Below are 21,237 nucleotides of genomic sequence, written 5' to 3'. Positions count from 1 at the left end.
AGGTTGGTTAATGGATGAAAACATACAGTTAGAGAGAAGGAATAAGTTCTAGTGTTTGATAGCACAGTGGGGTGACTATAGTTACTAATAACTTATTGTCTATTTCAAAACATCTACCAGAGAAGATTTGAAATGTTCCCAACACAAAAAAATGATAAATATTCGAAGTGATGGATATTTTAAACACCCTGACTTGATCATTACACATTATATGCATGTATCAAAATATCACATGTACCCAATGAATATGTACAGTTATTGTGTATCAATTAAATCAGGAAGAAAAGACCATGGGTGTAGCAGGTATACAGAAAGTAACTGGTAGGTCTGTGTGGCCAGACACAAAACACCATACACTTCCCTCCCCAGACTCTTTTCTCATGTGAAGCAAAAGCTTTAAACTTCTGGAAGAGTGGCAGCAAAGACTGTTGCCCAAAGCCCAGGAAAAGATGCATTATGGAGAGGGGTTAGGGGTATAAGAAAAGGCTATCTCTGGGGAGATGCACAAAATCATCTTGGACCTAACATCTCAAACTGATATAAGGCAGAGGTTTTCTACCACTAGGAAAGGCGAAGAAAACTCTTGTTCAAGATCAACTATTATTAATACAAAGCAGAATTTGGCTGCCACAAGACGGAGTGACAGGAATGCAGAGAGAGGCCCAATTTCAGAGGCCCTCCCTAAGACATAGACTGGAGTAGAACAACAGATAAATCCATCTACCCTGAACACAAACCTGGCAAAAAGTAACAAGCAACAGTAGTCTAAGACTGGGGATGGGGAAAATCCATGGTGAGAGATCTTCCCTGTGGTACAGGCATTCAGGAAAGCTGAAAGCTGATGGTAGAACAATAAACCTGAGAGAAGACTCTGGCATACCAGTGTCCACTCTAGGCACAAGGCAAAGGCGGCCCACCAATGGAAGAATTAGAAGCCTGTGGTGCACTGATGGTAACCATAGCAACAACAAAACCTAAACCCAGCTCAACTCCTGACAGATCGAGTCAATTCTCCATATTAATGGCCTTACACAAGAAGAGTCATTCTCATTTTCCACTGTTAACAATATTTTAACAATATTTACCCCAGGTCTCTACTGTTCATGCAAAGTCTGGCATTCACTCAAAAATTACATCACACACACACACAGACACACACACACACACACACACACACACACACACACTACCTACGATCAAGAAACAATGAAGTCAACATCCAATACCCAGATGTTGAAACTAGCATACAGGAATTTTAAAATAACTATGATTAATATGTGAAAGGATATAGTAGAAAAGGTAGCATGTATAAAAGATGGGGAATTTCTCCCATCTTTTTGAGAAGAAGAAAGATGTATAAAAGATAAGGAATTTCTCCCATCTTTTTCAGAAGAAGAAGCATGTATAAAAGATAGGGAATTTCTCCCATCTTTTTCAGAAGAAGACATCTTTCTTCTGAAATTCCCCATCTTTTATACATGCTACCTTTTCTACTATATCCTTTCACATATTAATCATAGTTATTGTAAAGTTCCTGCATGCTAGTTTCAACATCTGTGTACTGCTAGAAATTAAAACCTAATATTGGCCAGGCACGGTGGCTCATGCCTATAATCCCAGCACTTTGGGAGGCTGAGGCAGGTAGATGATCTGAGGTCAGAAGTTCGAGACCAGCCTGGCCAACATGGTGAAACCCCTTCTCTACTAAAAATACAAAAATTAGCCAGGTGTGATGGTGGGTGACTATAATCCCAGCTACCTGGGAGGCTGAGGCACGGGTGCTTGAATCTGGGAGGCAGAGGTTGCAGTGAGCCGAATCACGCCATTGCACTCCCTCCTGGGTAACAAGAGCGAAACTCCATCTCAAAACAAAAACAAAAACAAAAACAAAAACAAAAACAAAAACCAAACAAACAAAAAAAACCAAAAACAAAACTAATAGTGGAGATAAAAAATGCTTTCAACATACTCCTTAGTAGAAGTATGAACCCAGCTAGAAAGAATCAATTAACTGGAAGATCTGTCAACAGAAATTACCCAAACAAAAATACAGAAAGAAAGAAGAAGAGTGGGAGAATAAAATCAGAACAGGGCATTCAAGAGATGTGGAATTATATCAAACATAATAATGTACATATAATTGGAGTCCCAAAAGGATAAGAGAAAGAAAATGGGGAAGAAGAAATATTTGGAGACATAATGAATGGCCAAGAATTTTCCAAAAATAGTGAATGACAGTAAATCACAGATCCAAGCTCAAACAACCCAAAAAGGATATACACCAAACAAACAAACAAACAAAGAAAACCTTACACATGCCTAGATACATCATAATCAACCTGCTAAAAATCTAAAATAAAGAGAAAATTTTGAAGGCAGCTGGGGAAAAAGGATGAGGAACACATTATATACAGCAAAACAAAGAGACTACTTAGTGTAGACTTTTCATCAGAAACTATACAAGCCAAAAAAGAAATGAAGCAACATTTTTAAAGTACTGAAGAAAAAATAAAAACCACTGTCAACTTAGAGTTCTATACACAAAGAAAAGTTTTTGAAAAGGAAAGCAAAGACATTTTCATAAAAACAATAGGTGAGAAAATTCACTGACAGCTTACTTGCTTTGTAATAATAGTTAAAGTTCTTCAGGCAGAAGGATTACGTTACCACATAGAAATTTGGATCTACACAATCGACTGAAGAGCTCTGGGAAGGATAAATGAATACTATGTAGCAATAAAAAGGAACAGCTAACTAATACATAACAACATGGATGAATCTCAACATAACGACTGACTAAAAAAAAGCAGACAAAGCCAAAACATATTGTATGGTCAATATATAAAATTCTAAAAACACCAAATAACGTCTAGCAACAGAAAGTAGAACAGTGGTTTCCTGTGGGCTGAGGAAACATACACTCACCATACAATCCAACAGTTTTATTCTTGGTTATTTACCCAGGAGAACTGAATGCATGTGCCCTCATAATACCTGTATGTGCACGGTTATACCAAATTTATTAGCTATATTCTTAATATCCAAAAACTAGAAACCACCCAAATGTCTATTAGTTTGTGAGTGAATAAACAAATTGTGCTACATCTATGCAATGGAATACTACTCAGTAATAAAAAAGAATAAAGTACTGATACGTGCAACAACATGGATGAATAATAAAAAAGACTTTGTACTAAGTAAAAGAAACCAGACTTGAAAGTCTATACTTCCTATACTAAGCAATTCTATTTTTATGGCATTCTGGAAAAGGCAAAACTATAGGAACGGAAATCAGATCTGTGGTTGTCTGAGGTTGGATGCAGGTAAAAGGATTGGCTACTAAAAGGTACAGGGAACTTGCCAGGGTAATGGAAATGTTCTATATTTTGAGTGTGTTGCTTACACACTCAATACGTTTGTGGAATTTGTAAAACAGGGCACCTCTGAAGGATTAGTTTTACTGTATATAAATTATACTTCAGCAAACTGGTTTTAAAAATTAGGCATCCAAAATAGGAAAGCAAATCTCTCAAATTTTCCAGTGATATGTAAAATTATACCACACTCAATCCAGTACTTTAAAACATTTCACTAAATATAAAGATAAATGTTTAGAAACCTCTTCTAAAGTTTCTTATTTTATAGCAAAAGCCAAACTGTTGGGGAAATAGCTGAATTAATACTCAGAAACCAGTAAAGTGATAAACTAAAATCCTTTCTCATATTGACAGATTCCATTGATAGACACCTGGGAAACACTCCTGAACATTCCTGAAAATTTGAAGAAACAAGTATTAGATCAATTTATGCAGTGTTGTAATTATGTAAGTTTGCTATTTATGTGGATTAAAAAACAGCAGCTATTTCTAACATGTTTGAACTTGTGGTACTTTATAGATTCTGTCTCAGAATCTTTTGAAATACATGAAGAACTCTTTTTAAGGGGATATAAATGGAAAAATGTATGGGAGCAGATATATTCACAACTGAAATGATCTTCAATAGAAGGAATAATTTATGGAAAAATTATGGAAGTGTAACTACTGAGGAAAAGGCTGCTTTAACTCAAATAAATATAAACAGCCTGGAGTCAGAGAGACCATCACAAACAAAATTTATTCACCAAGTAATTACTATGCAAGAAATGTGCATAATTTGAAGCCAAAGTATGCAAGATGTACCCATGTAGTTAGTTTTAGAAATATGAGTCTTTTAAAATATTATAGAATCTTTGCAATAAATGAAACTGGAAAATGCCATAAAATTCTACTGTTCCACACGAAAAGTGCTGTTTGGCAAGTGGTAAAGTATGTAAAGAGTACTTAAAGAGTTGCTCAACTTTAAGATAAGTGTTCCAAAGTTATTTTTTATGACAATGTCAATGGTATGCTACCAGCAGATTAAAAAAATGAATGCACACGCAACGTGTCTCTTTAAGTACTATTTTTAAATGAATTAAATGGTAACTTTTAAAAACATTGTGCAATGGAGAAGGCATTTTGAAGAGATTTAATTTAGAAATTTTTCCATTGTTATGTGATTTTTGCTACCCCAAATAATGAAAATGTGACATATATTAAAATCTGTTATATCTGAACACTTGAAACACTTGGAAGCATAAATATCTAAGCTGTTAAAAATTTTTCCAAATCAAGAGTTTTATGGATTTTAAACCCATTGTTAAAAGAAAAACTAATTCACATTAGAAAGAGACTTACTGTCCAAATTTCAATAAAACTTTGGAATATTTCATAGATAAGTAAGAAAAATGAGAATAATAATTTAGTTAACACAATCAGTGATTAACTTCTGTTAGACTTTTGATTTTTTTTCTTATAGCACACATTTTATTCTTTCATAAGAAAAATGATCTCCCACAACAATGTGTATATGTCTGAATGGGTTGAGGGATTGGAAACATTGTTTTATTAATATATGTTTAGTGAAAATAAATAGCTCTCAAATTATGTCCTATCACTTATGGTGTTTATATAGATGCTAAAATACTTTTGTCACAAAAGAGTTTCTGTTTTTTCCCCTGTAATTATTACTAATGGGATAATATTGGCTTATATAAAATAAATTGGAAATTTTACTTTAATTTTAAAAAATTGGGAATGGTTATCCACCACACATATCAGCTCACCAGCACAAGTGGACCATAGATAAGTACAGAGCAAACTAGGGGATACTATTGTCTATCTTTAACCTCTGACTGTGCTCACTCCTACCACGGTTCGGGTCACATAGATGGTAAGTTTTCAAAAGTACTGCTACAACTGGTGGTAGTCTCTTCTATTCCTTTAAAGAAAGCAAACAAATAAAAAATGATAAAAACCCTCACCATTTATGATATAATCAATAACAATAAATAAAAATATATACTAGATAAAATAATAAATAGAGAAGTACAGTGAAAATAGGAATTGTTGGGATTCAGAAAATGATAACTCAAAGTATGGCACTTTGGCATGCTGAGTACTTTGAACAAAAGGTGATTGAAAATCCCTTAAAAGCAAAGTCTCTCTCTGAACTTCTCATGCCCTCCTTTCTCCTTGCTCCCTTTTCTCCCCCAAGGGCAAGCCATAGAAACTAGAATTTCTCTTCCCCAAGGTGGATCATAGAAACTAGAACCCCTCTCTCCAAAGCCAGCCATAAAACCTAGAAATAGTATTCTAACATTCTCCCATTTTTCTGTGTAAGAGCTGACCATACAGAAATTCTCTGACCTACTCTGTCTGCAAGTAGATTATAAGACCCTCATTCTAAAAGGGGTCTTGCACTATCCCTGGAAAAAGGAATGCCACACAGAGAGACCAAGTAGAATCTTAACAGGCAGGCTTTCCTGGGTTTCCTCATTCAGTCTGTTGCTGTAAGATCATTCCCTTTTTGTCCAGTCGCATTTCTGCACGGCTATCCACTCTGCATCAAATCTAGGCATAAAAATGGACAGTTTTCCTTTGGATCTTTGGGTCTTCATTCTGAAGACTCCTGTGTCATGTAAAACTCTGATTAGATAAATATGTTATGCTTTTCATGTTAACCTGTCTTTTGTTAAAGGAGTGTCAGCTGTGACCCTTATGATGGGTGAGAAAAGACATCACGCCCTTTACCCACTACAGTGACATAAATATCACACATTATGTCTTCTGAATTTTCTAATAGCTTTATTGAGATATACTTAACATACCATAGTTAAGGCACACAGCTCAATGTTTTTTAGTATATTTACAGAGTCATGAAATCATCACCAAAATCTAATTTTAGAATATTTCCATCATCCCAAGATGAAACTCTGCTGATTAGCAATCACTCCCTGGTACCTTTCTTTACCCGATCTTATCCCTGCACAGCCATTAATCTACCTCTGTTTCTATAGATTTGCTCATTCTGTACCTTTCCATATGAATGGAGTCACGCAATATGTGGTCTTTGTGTCTGGCTTCTTTCACTCAGCATAATGTTTTTGAGGTTCATCCATGTTGTCACATGTATTAGTACTTTGTTTCTTTTCTTGCCGAATAGTAGTCTATTGTATGGTTATATCACATTCTGTTTATCCATCCATCAGTTGATGGACCTTTGGGATGTTTCCACTTTTTCTTATTTTTTTTTAAATTGACAAATAAAAATGGTATACATTTATGATGTACAATGTGATGTGTTGATATATGTTTACACTGTGGAATGAGTAAATCAAGCTAATTTACATATCCATCACTTCACATGCTTATCATATTTTGTGATACCATCTGAATTTTTGTATTACATCTCTTTCTGCTATATCAGCCAAAAAACAGATTCTAAATAAATTGATCTTAAAACCAGATGATCAAATCATTATCTCAAAGGGTTAAACAATGAGTTTAACAAAATTAAGCTTATTGCTCTCAGAAGTTATACATGATCAATAAAACCTTATGCTGTTAATTGGTTTTTGTGCTGTTAATAAATAAAATTAATTAGTTTATTAATATTATTTTTAAGTTTATCATATATTTAATAATAAATATGAATATTTAAATTTATAAATGTATCTATTGATAAATACTTACAAATTTTAAAATAAATATTTTTATCATATCTTTGCTTATCTTTTGTATATCATAATTATATAATATACTAGTACAGTAGTACATGTACAAAGCTTATACATGTACTACTGTACTAGTATATTATGTAGTTATAATTGGGTATATACATATAAATATACATATACTCAGTATGTATGCCCTAAATTTTTATCTATGGGGTACAAAATTTTAAAAAATAGGTTGGAAACAGATGTCTCATAAAAGTAACAAATAATTACAAAGCCTTTGTAGTCCAACAGTATCTGGCAAAGCACTAGATGTGCAGTAAGTATTTAAACTACACTGACACTGTGTTAGTCCATTCTCATGCTGATATAAGAACATACCTGAGACTGGGTAATTTATAAAGGAAAAATGTTTAATTGACTCACAGTTCCTCAGGGCTAAGGAGGCCTCAGGAAACTTATAATCATGATGGAAGGGGAAGCAAACATGTCCTTCTTTACAAGGCAGCAGGAGAGAGAAGAATGAGAGCTGAGCAAAGGGGTAAGCTCCCTATAAAACCATCAGATCTCATGATAACTTACTCTTTTCATGAGAATAGCATTCAATTACCTCCTACCCGGGAATTATGGCAAGTACAATTCCAGTTGAGATTTGGGTGGGGACACAGCCAAACCATATCACTCACTAACCACCCCTGAATGCAAAGGTGGCCATTTATCTAAGTTTTGTGTGTACGTGTATTTCTCCCTTGCCATATGCATTTTGGTGAATAGTTCTGTGTGAGTATATCTGTGTAGGATACAATGACAGAAACAGTAGTACTTTGTGTCTGAGAGTGCAGTTTCTGAATTTAGACCACCTGAATCTCTATCTTAGCTCCATAATTTATTAGCTATGTGACCTTGAGTAGATTACCATCTTTTCCATGTCCTAGTTTTCTTATACACAAAATCGGGACAACAGTACCTACCTACCTCACAGGTTTGTGGTGAAGGTTAAATAAGTTAATATGAGCAAAGTCACTATACCTAGGTCTGACACATGGAAAATGCTCATTGTAGTTTGGCCACCAGAGCTATGGACAGACACACACACACACACACACACACACACACACACACACACACACACACGGGTGAGTATATCTGGATATGTTTATTTTTCTATGTCAATATATATCTGTTCCTCAATATGTATTTATACTGAATAATAATAATAATGATAGCCAACACTTACTGAACATGAGTTCTAGGCATTAGTTTAAGCACTTTACATATATTATCTTGTTCACCTTCAGAAAAAAACATGACATAACATTACATAACATGCTTTGATTATTCTCATTTTACAGATTAGAAAACTAAGGTCCAAAAAGGTTAAGTAACTTACAACTAAATTCACACAGCTAGCATATGACAGAGCCACAAAGCCGGACTTTTTAAGTCACTACTTATCACCTCCCCATTCATTTAATAATATTATTTAATATTACTCTTATAGTCTATAATATCATAATTTGTATGGTGCTTACTATTTCATCAAATATTTTCAAATACATTGGGTCTCATAGCGAGCCTGTGAAATGAGAAGTGCAATATTATTATTCTCATTTTTACAGGAAAGAAAATTGATAGAACTGAACCATGGGTGTCCTTTAGTGGAAGCGTTTCTATGTTACAAATATCTGGGGTACCTCTGTACATAGAGTCACATCATAAATGAACTGAGTACCTATAATGTGTCAAGCTCAGACATTAGTGCTGGGGATATAAGCTACAGACCTCCCCTGGAAGCATCATAGCCTAGGAAGAGAGACCAGTGTGGTAACCAAGAACCAAGAATCACGGTACACAATATGTAGTCTCTAAGGGAGACATGAAAGGAGTGCTTATGGAGCACAGAAGGAGGGGCCATCTGTGCCAGGGAGGTCTTAGAAAAGGCAAAGGGGTGGGGGAGGGGGAGGCTTTGATGGAAGAAAGAATGTGTGTGTGTGAATGTGAATCCATGTCTGTGTCTATGACAGTGTGGCTAGGCATCACTAAGTATGGATCTGAGTGTGTACCTGTTTATACAGGCTTACTTCTGTAAGCATTAATTTTTGTGTATGCTGGCTGCTGGTATAGAATGAGTAAGCCTGAACATAAAAGGGAATTTGTCTGGTATCACACACACCATAGCAGAATTGGACCTGCCCTGATAGGCACACCCTGTCATGACTCCCCAACACCAGGGGAACCAGAGATGCTGGTCCTTTCCCACTGTAGCAGCTGCCCACTCTAGAGCTATGGTGATTAGACCCACCAGTTTTTTTCAATCCATCAGTATGGATGTGTGGTGGTCTAATAGAGCCAGCCAGCTTGTATGATGAAGGGGGAGGAGGTACAGGTGTCTGTGGGTGTGCATCTGTGTGCACACTTCTGGTTGTGTGTGAATGCTTAGCATTGGCTGTTCCTAACTAGAGTGAGAAAACCTCCCTTCTCCCTTCATTGTCACCACCTTGGGGTGTTTATCCACTCACCCATTTCCATTGCCACCTGTATGGGACCGGCTTCCATCTTCACTTTAACGTTCTGGGGATATCTAAAATATACCTCTGTGCTGGGGTTAGGCAGAAGCAAGGCTGGGGAGTGTTGGTGCCCTTATTTGTTGGAGGCACTCCCTCCTTTCCCCGACCCCTGCCCCATTGTGGTCCAGGAATCTCTCAAAGGAGCAAAAATGTGGGCAAAGGCAAATAGTACTTGTGGAAGCCATGAAAAACCCGGAGGGTCACTCCCAGGGGTGGGCTGCTCAATGTGCCTCCCCTGGTGATAAAATCTGCTTTTAGGGCAAAATTAAGGAAGACAAGTGAGGACTCCTCTCTCCACAAATGTTCCCCTAGGAACTGGCGGGGTGGGAGTAAGGCTGTAATGCTCTTTTATTTCTTTAAGCTTGTATGATCAAAACAAGCTAAAATAATCACAAATAATATGTTATTGATATTAACTATGAGTATCTTCATAAAGTGGCAAAATAATTGAACTAGATTTTATTTTTTATTATAAGGTATACAAATTCAGGGCCATGGGATCATGTAAGGCAAAGGCATTATGTACTGGGACACACTGGTAATTTGTGTTTACATCTTGGCACAAGCACTGCCACGCAGTACAATATATTAGCATGTTAAGATGGGCAAGAATGAAGTGCAATAATCAACACATGTAGCATGTCATATTTCAGCTTGAATGAATGAGTGGGTGGAGAGAAAAACAAACATACAGAAAAGTAGAATTATCTCATGTCGTGGTCCGTGAATATGTGGATTCTCTTTCTAGTTCCACCAATGGCTTAATCTATTGAAAGGTTCTTACCATCTATTGATAAGTTAGTCTCATAGCAGATCATTTCTCAAAAATGTTAATATGCTTAATCAAACCTTACTGAAGTATCTTTTAAAATGTAAATGATCTCTAATAAATGTTGGCTGTTGCATGTCTAAATACTTTATTGCAGCATCTTATATAGTATATATTTCCATGTTCTGGACACAAATATTTTTCTAAATATTAAGGGAAAGTGGTGGCTTTGTAATATGCCAGGGGAATTCTTTGATAGTCAATATATTGTTTATTTGTACTTAAATATTTCATCAATAATCTGGAAAAGAGAAATAGCCTGACTACGGCTAGATACTGTTTAGAGGCTAAGATTTCTATCATGAACTGCTTTTCAATTGTTATATTTTATGGCACAGATTCAGTGGGAATCTGATCTGCTAAAATATTTGGGCTGTGAAAACTCCCACACTGTGACAGATGTCAAGTCCAATTAAGTGACTCATGTCCAGGTTTCTGTCCAATAGGATTTCCCATTAAATATCAATTTAGGGGAAAAAAATTCCATCCCCCTTCCTAAGCCTTTATCTCTTCCACCATCTCCAGGCTGAATCAATTGGTACCAGGAGAGCCCAGAAGCCACACACGCATCTCTGCCTCTTTGCTCTGGCTCTCCCACCCTCTTCCCGTCTTTCTCTGCTTCCTTGTCACTGTTACTCCAGGAGACGTTCACTTTTCACCAACCTTTCTCCAAGCATCTCCAAGCCACTGACTATATATATTTTGCTACAAGGTAAAGAGAAGAGGGGCTGGGGACGGGGGATATAGCCAAACCTTGAAAGACTTTGAAACTGGAAAATAGGTGTCTATTTATACAACATACAAGTAAGTGAGGGAAGAGGAAGAGGCAACCTTAGCTCCTAGTTACAGTATTGTGTTCCTGGGAACTGGGGAGATATCAGCTGAACAAAGCCTTATCTCAAAAAAAAAAAAAAAATCACTTCTGAGCAAGATCACATCTCTGTCCTGCACTTCCCAGTTTCTGCTCAGCCGTATTAAGGAAAAGAAAGGCATACGATAGGAGCGGAATCTTATCTTAACCATCTTTCTTATTGATTATTCCGCTATTAGAAAGTGGAGGAATCAGCCCTTTGATGTGATTGTGTTTATCTCTGCATCTCTTTTGTTATTTTTAGAGACCTAGAAGAGGAAAAAAGGCACGAGACTTTTCAACACATCGTTTAAAAAAATCATCAACGAATTTCTTGCAATGTTTGAGAACAATTAAAAGGAAAAAGCGTTTTTTAAAAAATCTATCAACTAAGTGAACAATCATTCATATCGTCTACATCCTGAGATATTATTGTCCCTCGCTGCGGACACCAGCGAGATGACAGCTGCTTTTTCATTTTTGAATGTAATAAATATTTGCTGCTTTTAATATTTTCCGGAATCTCCCCTCGCTATTCCTTGGAATTTTAACTCTAAAGATTGGAGAACAGATTATCAAAAAGGCTTTTGCAAGGTAAGACTCCTTTAAATAATTTTTTTCAGCTTGAAATAAGTTAGATTATTCATACTGTATCTATAGATGCAGTTCATTCCATAAAGAGATAAAACGCATACACGGCATACTATTTATGAATATTTTTAAAGATCTAGAGGAGAATTTAATGTGCTTTGAGGGCAACCCAGGAACTTTTTACCAGAACTACAACTATTTAGTGGCTTATTGTGATTTTCCATTACTCGTCTATTTATTTCTGCCCTTTCAAGCTGACTGTGTAGGTGCAAGTTGTTCTACTCATAAACGTACCCGAGAAAAGCCCGTAGGGAGTCACATGCAGCTCTCTGGGAGCATTTGTTTTTATTTTGCCGTAGAGGACCTGATTTCCTCGCAGGGAAATTAAAGCTGTTTTGGCCCAATTCGCTCCTCTGCAAGTGCGGTGCTGGGAACCGATCACCCATCCCCTTGCTTTTGTTTCTCTAGAAGCAAACGCTCCTATACGTCGCCGACGCGGATTTCTCCCGTGCCGAGCGTCGTGGAGGCTGCCCACGCCGGGGCCCCGAGTTCTCAGCCTGGTCCTCACTCCCGACGCCCAGGGGCGGTGCGTGCAGCCCCTGCAGGGGCCTTTCTCCTCCTGCCGGGCCCTTTCTCGAAGCCCGAATTACCCGGAAGCCCAGCGGTTCTGAGCGGCCCCCTCCCAGAAGGCGCACAGTCCGGGCCAGTGCTCCAGGCGCCCCAGAGAAGCCTGGCCAGGTGGCGTTTCCAAGAGGGCACAGTTAAGTTAGAGGAAGGCTAAGCACCGACATGCCCGGACTTGGCCAGGCCACCCGGGGACAGCTGCAGCCTGCCGAGCTCCGGTTCCGGGAGCGCCCGAACTTTGCCGGCAGAGATGCAGCTCCCGCCGGGACAACACGCGCTGCACCCGCTAGTCCCCGCCTGCCCCGCCCCGGGCCCTTCCCTTCTCTTCCCTTCCCTCTGCATCCTCTCCTCCCTCAGCGGCCCGGCTGCCGGCATTTTCCCGCAAGGTGGTCGCCAGACTGCCGGGCGCATTGTCTGATCCCACGTCGCCGTGTCCCTAGGTCCCCTATGTGTGTGGCTGTCTGCGTGACAGATGGTGCTCCGGGAGCCTGCGAGGGCATCGGAGTCAATTTTCTTTTTAAAGGCTCCCCCACGTTTGTTTAGTCATTTCTTTACGATTTCGGAGAAGCGCGAGGGGTCCAAGAAGCCTTCCCGCCCCCAGCCACTGGCTCTCCGCCTGCGCTCCAGGATGGGGATTCCTGACCGGCCGCACCCCAGAGCCAGGCGCCCCCGGCGCAGCCCCAGACCAGCGCCAGGCCCTCGGGCGCCGCGGCTGCCGGGTTGCTTCGCCGGAGGCCCTCGGGGCGAGAAGTGCACCCCGCGTCTCCCCGCCCCCGTGAAAACCCAGATGTATTCGTTGTTCGAAATCGCTCGTTTGTCCGGGAAGGGGACGAAGGGAGGGAGGAGGAATAGCGCGGTTGGCATTTGGCCGGAAGAGGCACAAAAACCCAGTCGCGACCCCACAGGCCTGCGGTTGTTCCCCAGGCCCAGGGCCACAGGCCCGCTGTGGCCGTCTGCAAGTCGAGGTGTCCAGTCTAGTATGCGGCCTGGGTCAACCGCGTCCCCGCCGGCTCCCGCGCCAGGGCGAGGCGCAGGGCTCGCGCCCTCGGGCCAGATCCTATCGGCGCCCTCCCGCGTCGCGCGCCGGCCTGCTGTGGGGAGGGGGCCCGGGCCGCGCGTCCGCTGGGAGGACCGGCGTGGTAGGCCTCGGCAGCCATCCTTCCAGCAAAATACCCTGATTCCTTTTACTGATTAATTTTCCGACCCCTCCTCAGCCTCCAAAATGATGCTGAGTCCGGACCAAGCAGCAGATTCGGACCATCCCAGCTCGGCGCACTCGGATCCGGAGTCCCTGGGCGGCACGGACACCAAGGTGCTCGGCAGCGTGTCGGACCTGGAGCCGGTGGAGGAGGCCGAGGGCGACGGCAAGGGCGGCAGCCGAGCCGCGCTCTACCCGCACCCGCAGCAGCTGAGCCGCGAGGAGAAGCGCCGCCGCCGGCGCGCCACGGCCAAGTACCGCTCGGCCCACGCCACCCGCGAGCGCATCCGCGTGGAAGCCTTCAACTTGGCCTTCGCCGAGCTCCGCAAATTGCTGCCCACGCTGCCCCCGGACAAGAAGCTCTCCAAGATCGAGATCCTGCGCCTGGCCATCTGCTACATCTCCTATCTCAACCACGTCCTGGACGTGTAGGGCGGGGTGCGCCGCGGGGGGCCGCCTGTCCCGGCGTCCGCGAAACGCTACGGATCCGGACGGGCGCCGTCGCTCGGGTGGCGGAGGCTGCGGTGGCCCAGCGAGACGGCCGCCTCGAGAGACGGCCGGGGAAGAAGCTCGCTACCTGTTCTCTCTGGTCAGCAGGGCGACGAGGGAAGGTTTCCGACGCAGGCAGGTGGGGTTGTCTGGCGAGCCCGGGGGCTCGCAGGGGGGATTTTCCAGGCCAGGAGAACCTCGTGGAGACACCCGAGATGAGCCACTTCTGGGGCTCCCCAAGGGTTGTGGTTTTAACCCACTGGAGACTTTGAGTTCTCCTACATTCATCCGCCACAAATCTTAATGTGTTGAAAGAATGAGGGCAGAAGTTCAGAGTATGCAGGCTCATAACTTTAGGCTATCTGGAATTTTTCTAATGGACAAATCACCAAACACTGGGAAGGAGGAGAGAGGAGGGATCTCTCCCATAGAGATGGAAGGCACAGAAAGGTGCGACTGGAAACTTTCCTTTCTGTTGTGAAAATAAAGATTATATTAGAATCCAAATAAACCCTGAATATTTAGTAAGTTTAAAAAGACAAATTGAGAACAAGTAGACACACTGTGGGAGGATCTGAGCTTGGTGATATTTTATCCCCAAGATATGACACCAAGGTAGACAGGAAAATCCATATTTAAATGGAAACTTTAATATCTGATTACTTTTGCAGGCGAAGTGCCCCTTTATATATCCAAAAACATCTATTTGTGACCTTAAACATGTGGACCCATAGGTGCAGTTAGAAAAAGACAACCTATTTTTATTTATGTTAGAAGGAGTAGAGTATTTTTTTCAAGACATTTATTTTTCAGAGTGGTGATACTTTTACTTTGGATACTCTGTGCCAATTTATTTATAGTCAAGTGTTTACACTTTTTCCTGTGGAATAATTATGTCTAACTTTTTACGTGTTTGTTGAGATTATACTGTGGTCTTTCTTTCTGCTCTAATTATATTGCACTTGTATAACAAATTTCCCACTTCTCCCTGTTTCTAAACATATTTTATATATTAAGATGTTTGTTCTTGAAAGGTTCTTTTGTTGTGAGATCAGCAACACTAGCACTTCACTATTATAGTTTTTTAAAAAGTGTATTATTCTTATCTGTAGTTATGTCTGAGAAGTCCTTTACAAGCTGTTTATAAGGAGAGTAGCTTCTTTGTGTGTGTGATGTTTGTGCGTGTGATGAATTTAGCAAATTAAGTTATTTTCCTAAAAAAAAAAGAAAAAAAGAATTCAGAACTACTTTCCTCTGTGACACCAAAAAGAAAAGTCTATAACCTGAAAATGTTTCATGTTCTCTGCTGTGAAACTCTTAAAACAAGGAGTGTATTTTAGAGACAAGGGAAAAAAACCACATCTGCTATCCAAAGATTTTAGTCTTTTTCAGGGTTTTTTTGTGTCTCTGTTGCTTTATATAATGCAATATTTTGTAGTGAAAATAGATATAATCTGGTTTCTATCTGACGAGTTTTTCATATCTCATGAATGGTGCGCTGTTTTGCATATAAATAAAGGTATCAAATAAAGTCCTCTCTTTTATTTTAAGCACACTGTCTAAAAATAATGGACATGTTAGCTGAGCATGAAATATCTTAATGGACTCAATTCCTTAGAAAGGAACTGGTAAGCACAACAAAATCTTAACATAAACATATTTATGTAGTGAAATATTTGATGCTCAAATTTGGACGTGGATCAGTCCCATAAATAGATGCCCTACATATGATGGTGACATAGATCATTCTACAATGAGGAAAAGAAGTATAGTGTTTATATAAAATATTACTTGAATTGTGGATTCTTTGCCTCTAAAAGAAAACTTAATAACTCTCTAACCCAGCCTCTTCAAATTAGAGTTGGGAAACTGAGGCCCAAGGAGTGACCTACACTAAAACACATAGCTATTTAATGGCAGTGAGAAGAAGATCCCTGATGTGATGACTCTCAATCCTCATGGCACTTATTAAGAACAAGGTGTGTATTACTATTGTAATACTCAAACATCCAATCAGTACACAGATTCAAGACAGGGCATCCGCAAACAAGAAAAAAAATTGAGCCCTGGACCAACCTTGAGATAAGAAGAATGACATCTGCAAAAACCTGTGGCTAGTATAAAAATGCGAAATGTATTGCTTACAAATAGAAGACATAAATGACTTAAAAACTATATGTACATATGCATATATAGAATATTATGAAGTATGAGTCTATATCACACCAAATCTCTGGTTTCAGAGTAAATGCAGTTAGATGGATGCTTGGCCTTATGCATATAAAATGTCTGTGGGATTGCTGGTATTCTTCACTTTTCACCCAGGTGTCTTCTTGTCAGCTTCACAGATACCTACTAGGTAGGACCTCATCCTCTCCCTTATATGAAGGTGTATAGTAGGAAAGTACTTCCTAGTGTGTGAAAAAGAACAGCACCTTCTGTTGCCTTGTATCTGGACAATGTCCTGGCCACTAGAGCAATGACTGGTTACTCTGTGACCTGCAAAACACATGAGTGCCTGTAGGCCTTCTCACCTCTAGGCAGTGTGGAAGGATAACCACTCCTAGTTCTTATAGCACCTCTCTATTATACAAGAGAATAATTAGCCCTGCTCCTATGCCAAGGGTATGAAGTCAACTTCTAACCTCTGGAAACCTTCCAAGTGCCTGTCTTTCCCAGTTTAGGGGCCCAACTTCCAACTGACCAACACAGACCTCCCATTCACATGTAGGAGGAACCTACTGATACACTCCCCTAGACAAAAGGCCCTTGGGATTTGGACAAAGGGCCTTAGGGATTTGGACAAAGGGCAGCATCCCTTCCTAGCTATGCAACCCATGTGATTTCAGGAGAGGATCTTTGCAATGTCATTTCAAATCCAAAGCTGCTGAGCACCCTCCAAGAGAGACAAGCATGGTGGCAGTCTGCTAGACCAGAGGGTGACTGGCTCATTCCCTGAGCACAGCGCAGACACAGTGATTATTCGCCCATCCATGAGGTCTCGATTCTTCTTTGAATGACGATGGTGAGCATTCATTCTTACATTTAACCTTTGTTTATTGAGGACCCACTGTGTGCCAAACATTGTTCTAAATGCTGAAAATAGAGCAACACATGAGACAAAGTCTACTGGAGAAAAGCAGTACACTGAAGCGAAAAAACCCCCAATATTTGATTTTAGATATTGCTAAATGCTATGAAGAAAAATAAGCAGGGTAAAGAACACAGGATGGGGGCTGGACGTGCTGGTGCTGGGTAGCATTTTAGAGAGGGCTGTTGGAGAAAGCCTCTCTGAGGAAATACATTGGTACCCTCTGCCTAGAGACTTAGGCCTGCTGGACCAGCTTATACAGTTGCTGCCACTGGCACTGCCTTTTCTTTTCTCATCCTATTAAAATGTTCTGAGTGCTCATGCGACCAAAACAGTCTGTGCAGGTCACTTACCTTTCCGCAGCTGGCCCCAGCCTCATCCTTTACCCTGAGCTTGGTCTTTCACCAAACAGACCCAGAACCACATGTCTTCCTGCTGTCCCTTCACCTTCTTCTCTTTGCCCACAGCCACTCAACAACTTGCCAGGCCATTGCTGCTCCCCAGAAAGCCTAGCCCCAGCTGGCCCAGCGGACAAGACTGCCTGTGCTGAATATTTCTCCACCCAAATGGACTTCCCCTCACTTCTACCACTGCCCGGAAACTTCCAGAGAACAAGGGTAAAAGTATTGGGCAAAACAACCTTCCTCTCCAGGGAGAGGGGAAGAGGAGGGGCAGTGTATGATGGGATGGGATGGTAAAGGAAGGGCCGACTGAGGAGAGAGGAATGGGTAAGGAGGAAATGAGACTGGGTGGGAGTGGGGGACTCTGGAGGGAATACCCGCTTCCCACAGGAATGCTGTTTGCAGGAGCTCCCTCCAGTGGCCCTGCCCCATGAACACGTATCACCAGAGCACTATGATAAGGCGAGTAGCCAGAGCCAGCCTCTGTGATGCTGTGATTTATCCAACTCTCCTCACTGCTGTCTCTGGCTACCAGTTTTCTTGCTGATGTTTGGGGTGGAGAGAATTTAAGGGGAGAAGAGGGCCAACTTAAGAGCATGCACAGCCAATACCCTTTTCCATATTTAGATGTGCTATCTCATTTATCAGTATTAGTAGTCGAAATAATAGCTAATGTGGGTTGAGTGTATACTACATGCTTACTAAAGTGCTTTGCATGCATTATCTCCTGTAATTCTCACAACCACCCAGTGAGGTAGGTACTTTTATTGTCTCCATTTAACAGATGAGGAATTTGAGGCTTAAAGAAATTAGATGACTTGCTTAGGGCCATGAAGCCATGTTTATCAGTTTATCAAAGTGCCTGCCCCTACCCATCATCCTCTAGAGTTGTCCTTTGATAGAGGGGTAGCTGTGCCACTCACACACCACCCCCCTTGGTGCCTGCACTGCATCTTTCCATCCATGTGCCTAGGGAAAGCTTCAGCTCATGTAATGCCTAAGGAGTGCTGCGTCTGCAGTACACACAGCTGCCCAACCAATGGGACCAGTGGAGGCCAAAACCAAGCCTGTGCTCTGTATGCCAAGTCAAGCATGTGCCTTGGCTTGAAGTTGGACTACCTGGAGGAAGGGGAGCATTTTTCTACTTTGCAAGAAAACACTATAGGATAATGGTGGCCCTGTGACAACTCCCCCACCAGGGCACCGTCATTCACTACCACATGGGTGAGGCTGGCTCCATCCACACTCCTCTGCACCTTCCAGCCCATTCTCACGCTGCTTCTAGACCTATCTTTAAAAATTAGCGTGCCATCCTCCTTCGTGAATGTCCATTTTATTTTTTAATAAAATTCAAGTTCCCAATCTAGGCATAGAAATGTTTCACAGTCTTGTTCCAGACCCTCACTAGTGCCATTTTCAGCCACTCTCCAGAGATTAAATATTCCTGCAAACTCGGTTTCCTCACTTCCCCAGAGAGGCCAAGTCTTTTTCTTTTACGACCTGGGCCTTTGTATTTACTTCCCCTTTACTCACAATGCTCTCCCCTAACCTCATTTTTTACCCAGAAAATTCCGATGATTCCACTGTGACCCAACTCAGACCACACGTAACCACACGTATCATTACAAAGCTTTCCGTTTCTTTCAGAAGCATTAGCTGCTCTGTTCTCTGAGTCCCACATACATACATCGTTTTAACTGAATTTACCTGTTTCTCCCATCTCTGTGTTTGAGACCCAAGACTCTGGAGCCAAGTTCGGGCCCTGGCTCCAATTATTCTAAGTGTATGACATTGAACATGTTACTATATCTCCTCAAGCCTCCATTTTCATCCATAAGATGGGACAACGTATGTACCAATCTCAAATGCATGTCATGAGGTTTCCATGGGATAATGTATAGTGCTTATCAGAATAGGAATACATGGGAAGTGCTCAATAAATGTGAGCTATTTTCATTACCTTTGTATTTATAATATGCACAGGAATTAACATAGGATAAGCTAAAATCAGCTTTAATTCTTTAATATAGTAATGATTTGTGGTTTCCACCAACTATATCCATCTGCATATGATACATTACTAACTCAACAGTCAGCCAGAAATCATCCCCATCTTCTAAGACAGGAAGCATAGGTAAATTAATAGTCATCCATGGAATACACCACACATGCACACCTGTAGAGTTATCTACAGGTCTGAAAGCCCCACTCGACTCATGATAAAGGCCCAGTCTATGCCTTTTCTCTTTTACCTTGGTTTTTCCCATAGCACGAATGCTGTGATAAGCACTATAGCAGACTGGTCAGAAGCACAGACTCTGTCAAAGCTAATTTTTAAAGATAGGTCTAGAAGCAGAGGGCCAGTTTTCAGGCCTGCTCACCCATGATAGGTCAGGCAGAGGGGGATGAGCGGGCACTCACATCCAATGTGTGTGTACGAGCAATTGCCAAAGTTAAGGACGACAAGGGGTAAATTTTTTTTTTTTTTTTTGAGACCAAGTCTCGCTCTGTGGCCCAGGCTGCAGTGGTGCAGTGGCGCAATCTTGGCTCACTGCAACCTCCACCTCCCAGGTTCAGGCAATTCTTCTGGCTCAGCCTCCCGAGTAGCTGGGATTACAGGCATGTACCACCATGCCCAGCTAATTTTTTGTATTTTTTGTAGAGACGGGGTTTCACCATGTTGGCCAGGCTGGTCTTGAACTCCTGACCTCAGGTGATCCGCCCCCCCCTAGGCCTTTCAAAGTGCTGGGATTACAGGCGTGAGCCACCGCGCCCAGCCAGACAAGGGGTACATTTTTAAGATAGAAGGAAAAGTCATCAGGGAAGGTGGGTTAGATCAGCTGTGAAAGTCCCCTCAAATATGCAAGTGCTCACAGATGATTTTCAGGAAATACTGTTCGTTTTACTGTGATAATGGTATATTTGTTGTTAAAAGAAAAAAGAGTCCTTATCTTTTAAGAGATACTTACTGATGTCTTCATGGATGAAATGATGTGATGTTTGGGATTTGCTTCAAAAAGTCTTAAGGGGTAGTGAGAAAGACAGGATAAGAAAATAAATGAAATGTACTTATTGGTGTTGTGTATATTTGAATCCATTTCACTATTCTCTTGGCTTTTGGAGATGTTTTAACAGTTTTCCATAAGAGCGTTTTTTAAAATGTAGTTGCTCAGAAAATTTGTGCCAGTTGATTTTTACTCACCAGGAAGTCGACTCCCGCTTAAACTAAGGCCACCACCCTCTTTCACAGAGCTCCACCCTTTAGCACAAGTCACCTCATGCCACTCAGAGAACCATCTCCAGCCCTGGTTACTTTTTGTGAATGCACCAGGTATTGCTCCACAGAGTCATCTCTGGAGAAAGTTTTTTTCTTTGTCTTTGGTCAATGATCCTCTGTCCCTCTTGGCAGACTGACTCCAGTGGCCTTTTATTTTCAGTTATTCCATCCTAACCCCAGGGAATCCTAAGAGGACCCGCCCCCATATACATATCTACCAATCACACCACCTTTCTCCTGATTCAAGAAGCCCCTGAAATCTTCCCTTTTTCTGATATATT

General features: G+C 41.2%; 1 protein-coding gene across 3 annotated transcripts; it reads left to right on the top strand.

Moving 5' to 3' along the window:
* The first annotated feature begins 10,968 nt into the window (after positions 1–10,968).
* Positions 10,969–20,751, top strand: NHLH2 (nescient helix-loop-helix 2). Of its 3 annotated transcripts, XM_047421407.1 has the most exons (5): positions 10,969–11,147; positions 11,551–11,879; positions 13,715–14,326; positions 17,037–17,212; positions 17,746–20,751. In XM_047421407.1, exon 3 carries the CDS (start codon positions 13,723–13,725, stop codon positions 14,128–14,130), a length of 408 nt encoding a protein of 135 aa, XP_047277363.1. In that variant the 5' UTR covers positions 10,969–11,147; positions 11,551–11,879; positions 13,715–13,722; the 3' UTR covers positions 14,131–14,326; positions 17,037–17,212; positions 17,746–20,751. The 3 variants fall into 3 exon arrangements, with proteins under 3 accessions (XP_047277363.1, NP_005590.1, NP_001104531.1); NM_005599.3 differs by lacking the exons at positions 17,037–17,212; positions 17,746–20,751 and having other exon boundaries at positions 13,715–15,718; NM_001111061.2 differs by lacking the exons at positions 10,969–11,147; positions 17,037–17,212; positions 17,746–20,751 and having other exon boundaries at positions 11,392–11,879; positions 13,715–15,718.
* Positions 20,752–21,237: the final 486 nt, after the last annotated feature.

Source organism: Homo sapiens, chromosome 1 (assembly GCF_000001405.40).
Source record: "Homo sapiens chromosome 1, GRCh38.p14 Primary Assembly".
Lineage (NCBI taxonomy): Eukaryota > Metazoa > Chordata > Mammalia > Primates > Hominidae > Homo > Homo sapiens.
This window is presented reverse-complemented; position numbering and strand designations above follow the sequence as displayed.

Excerpts from the sequence above, each read along its gene's own strand:
- NHLH2 (XM_047421407.1), top strand. The coding sequence starts at position 13,723 with ATGATGCTGAGTCCGGACCAAGCAGCAGATTCGGACCATCCCAGCTCG.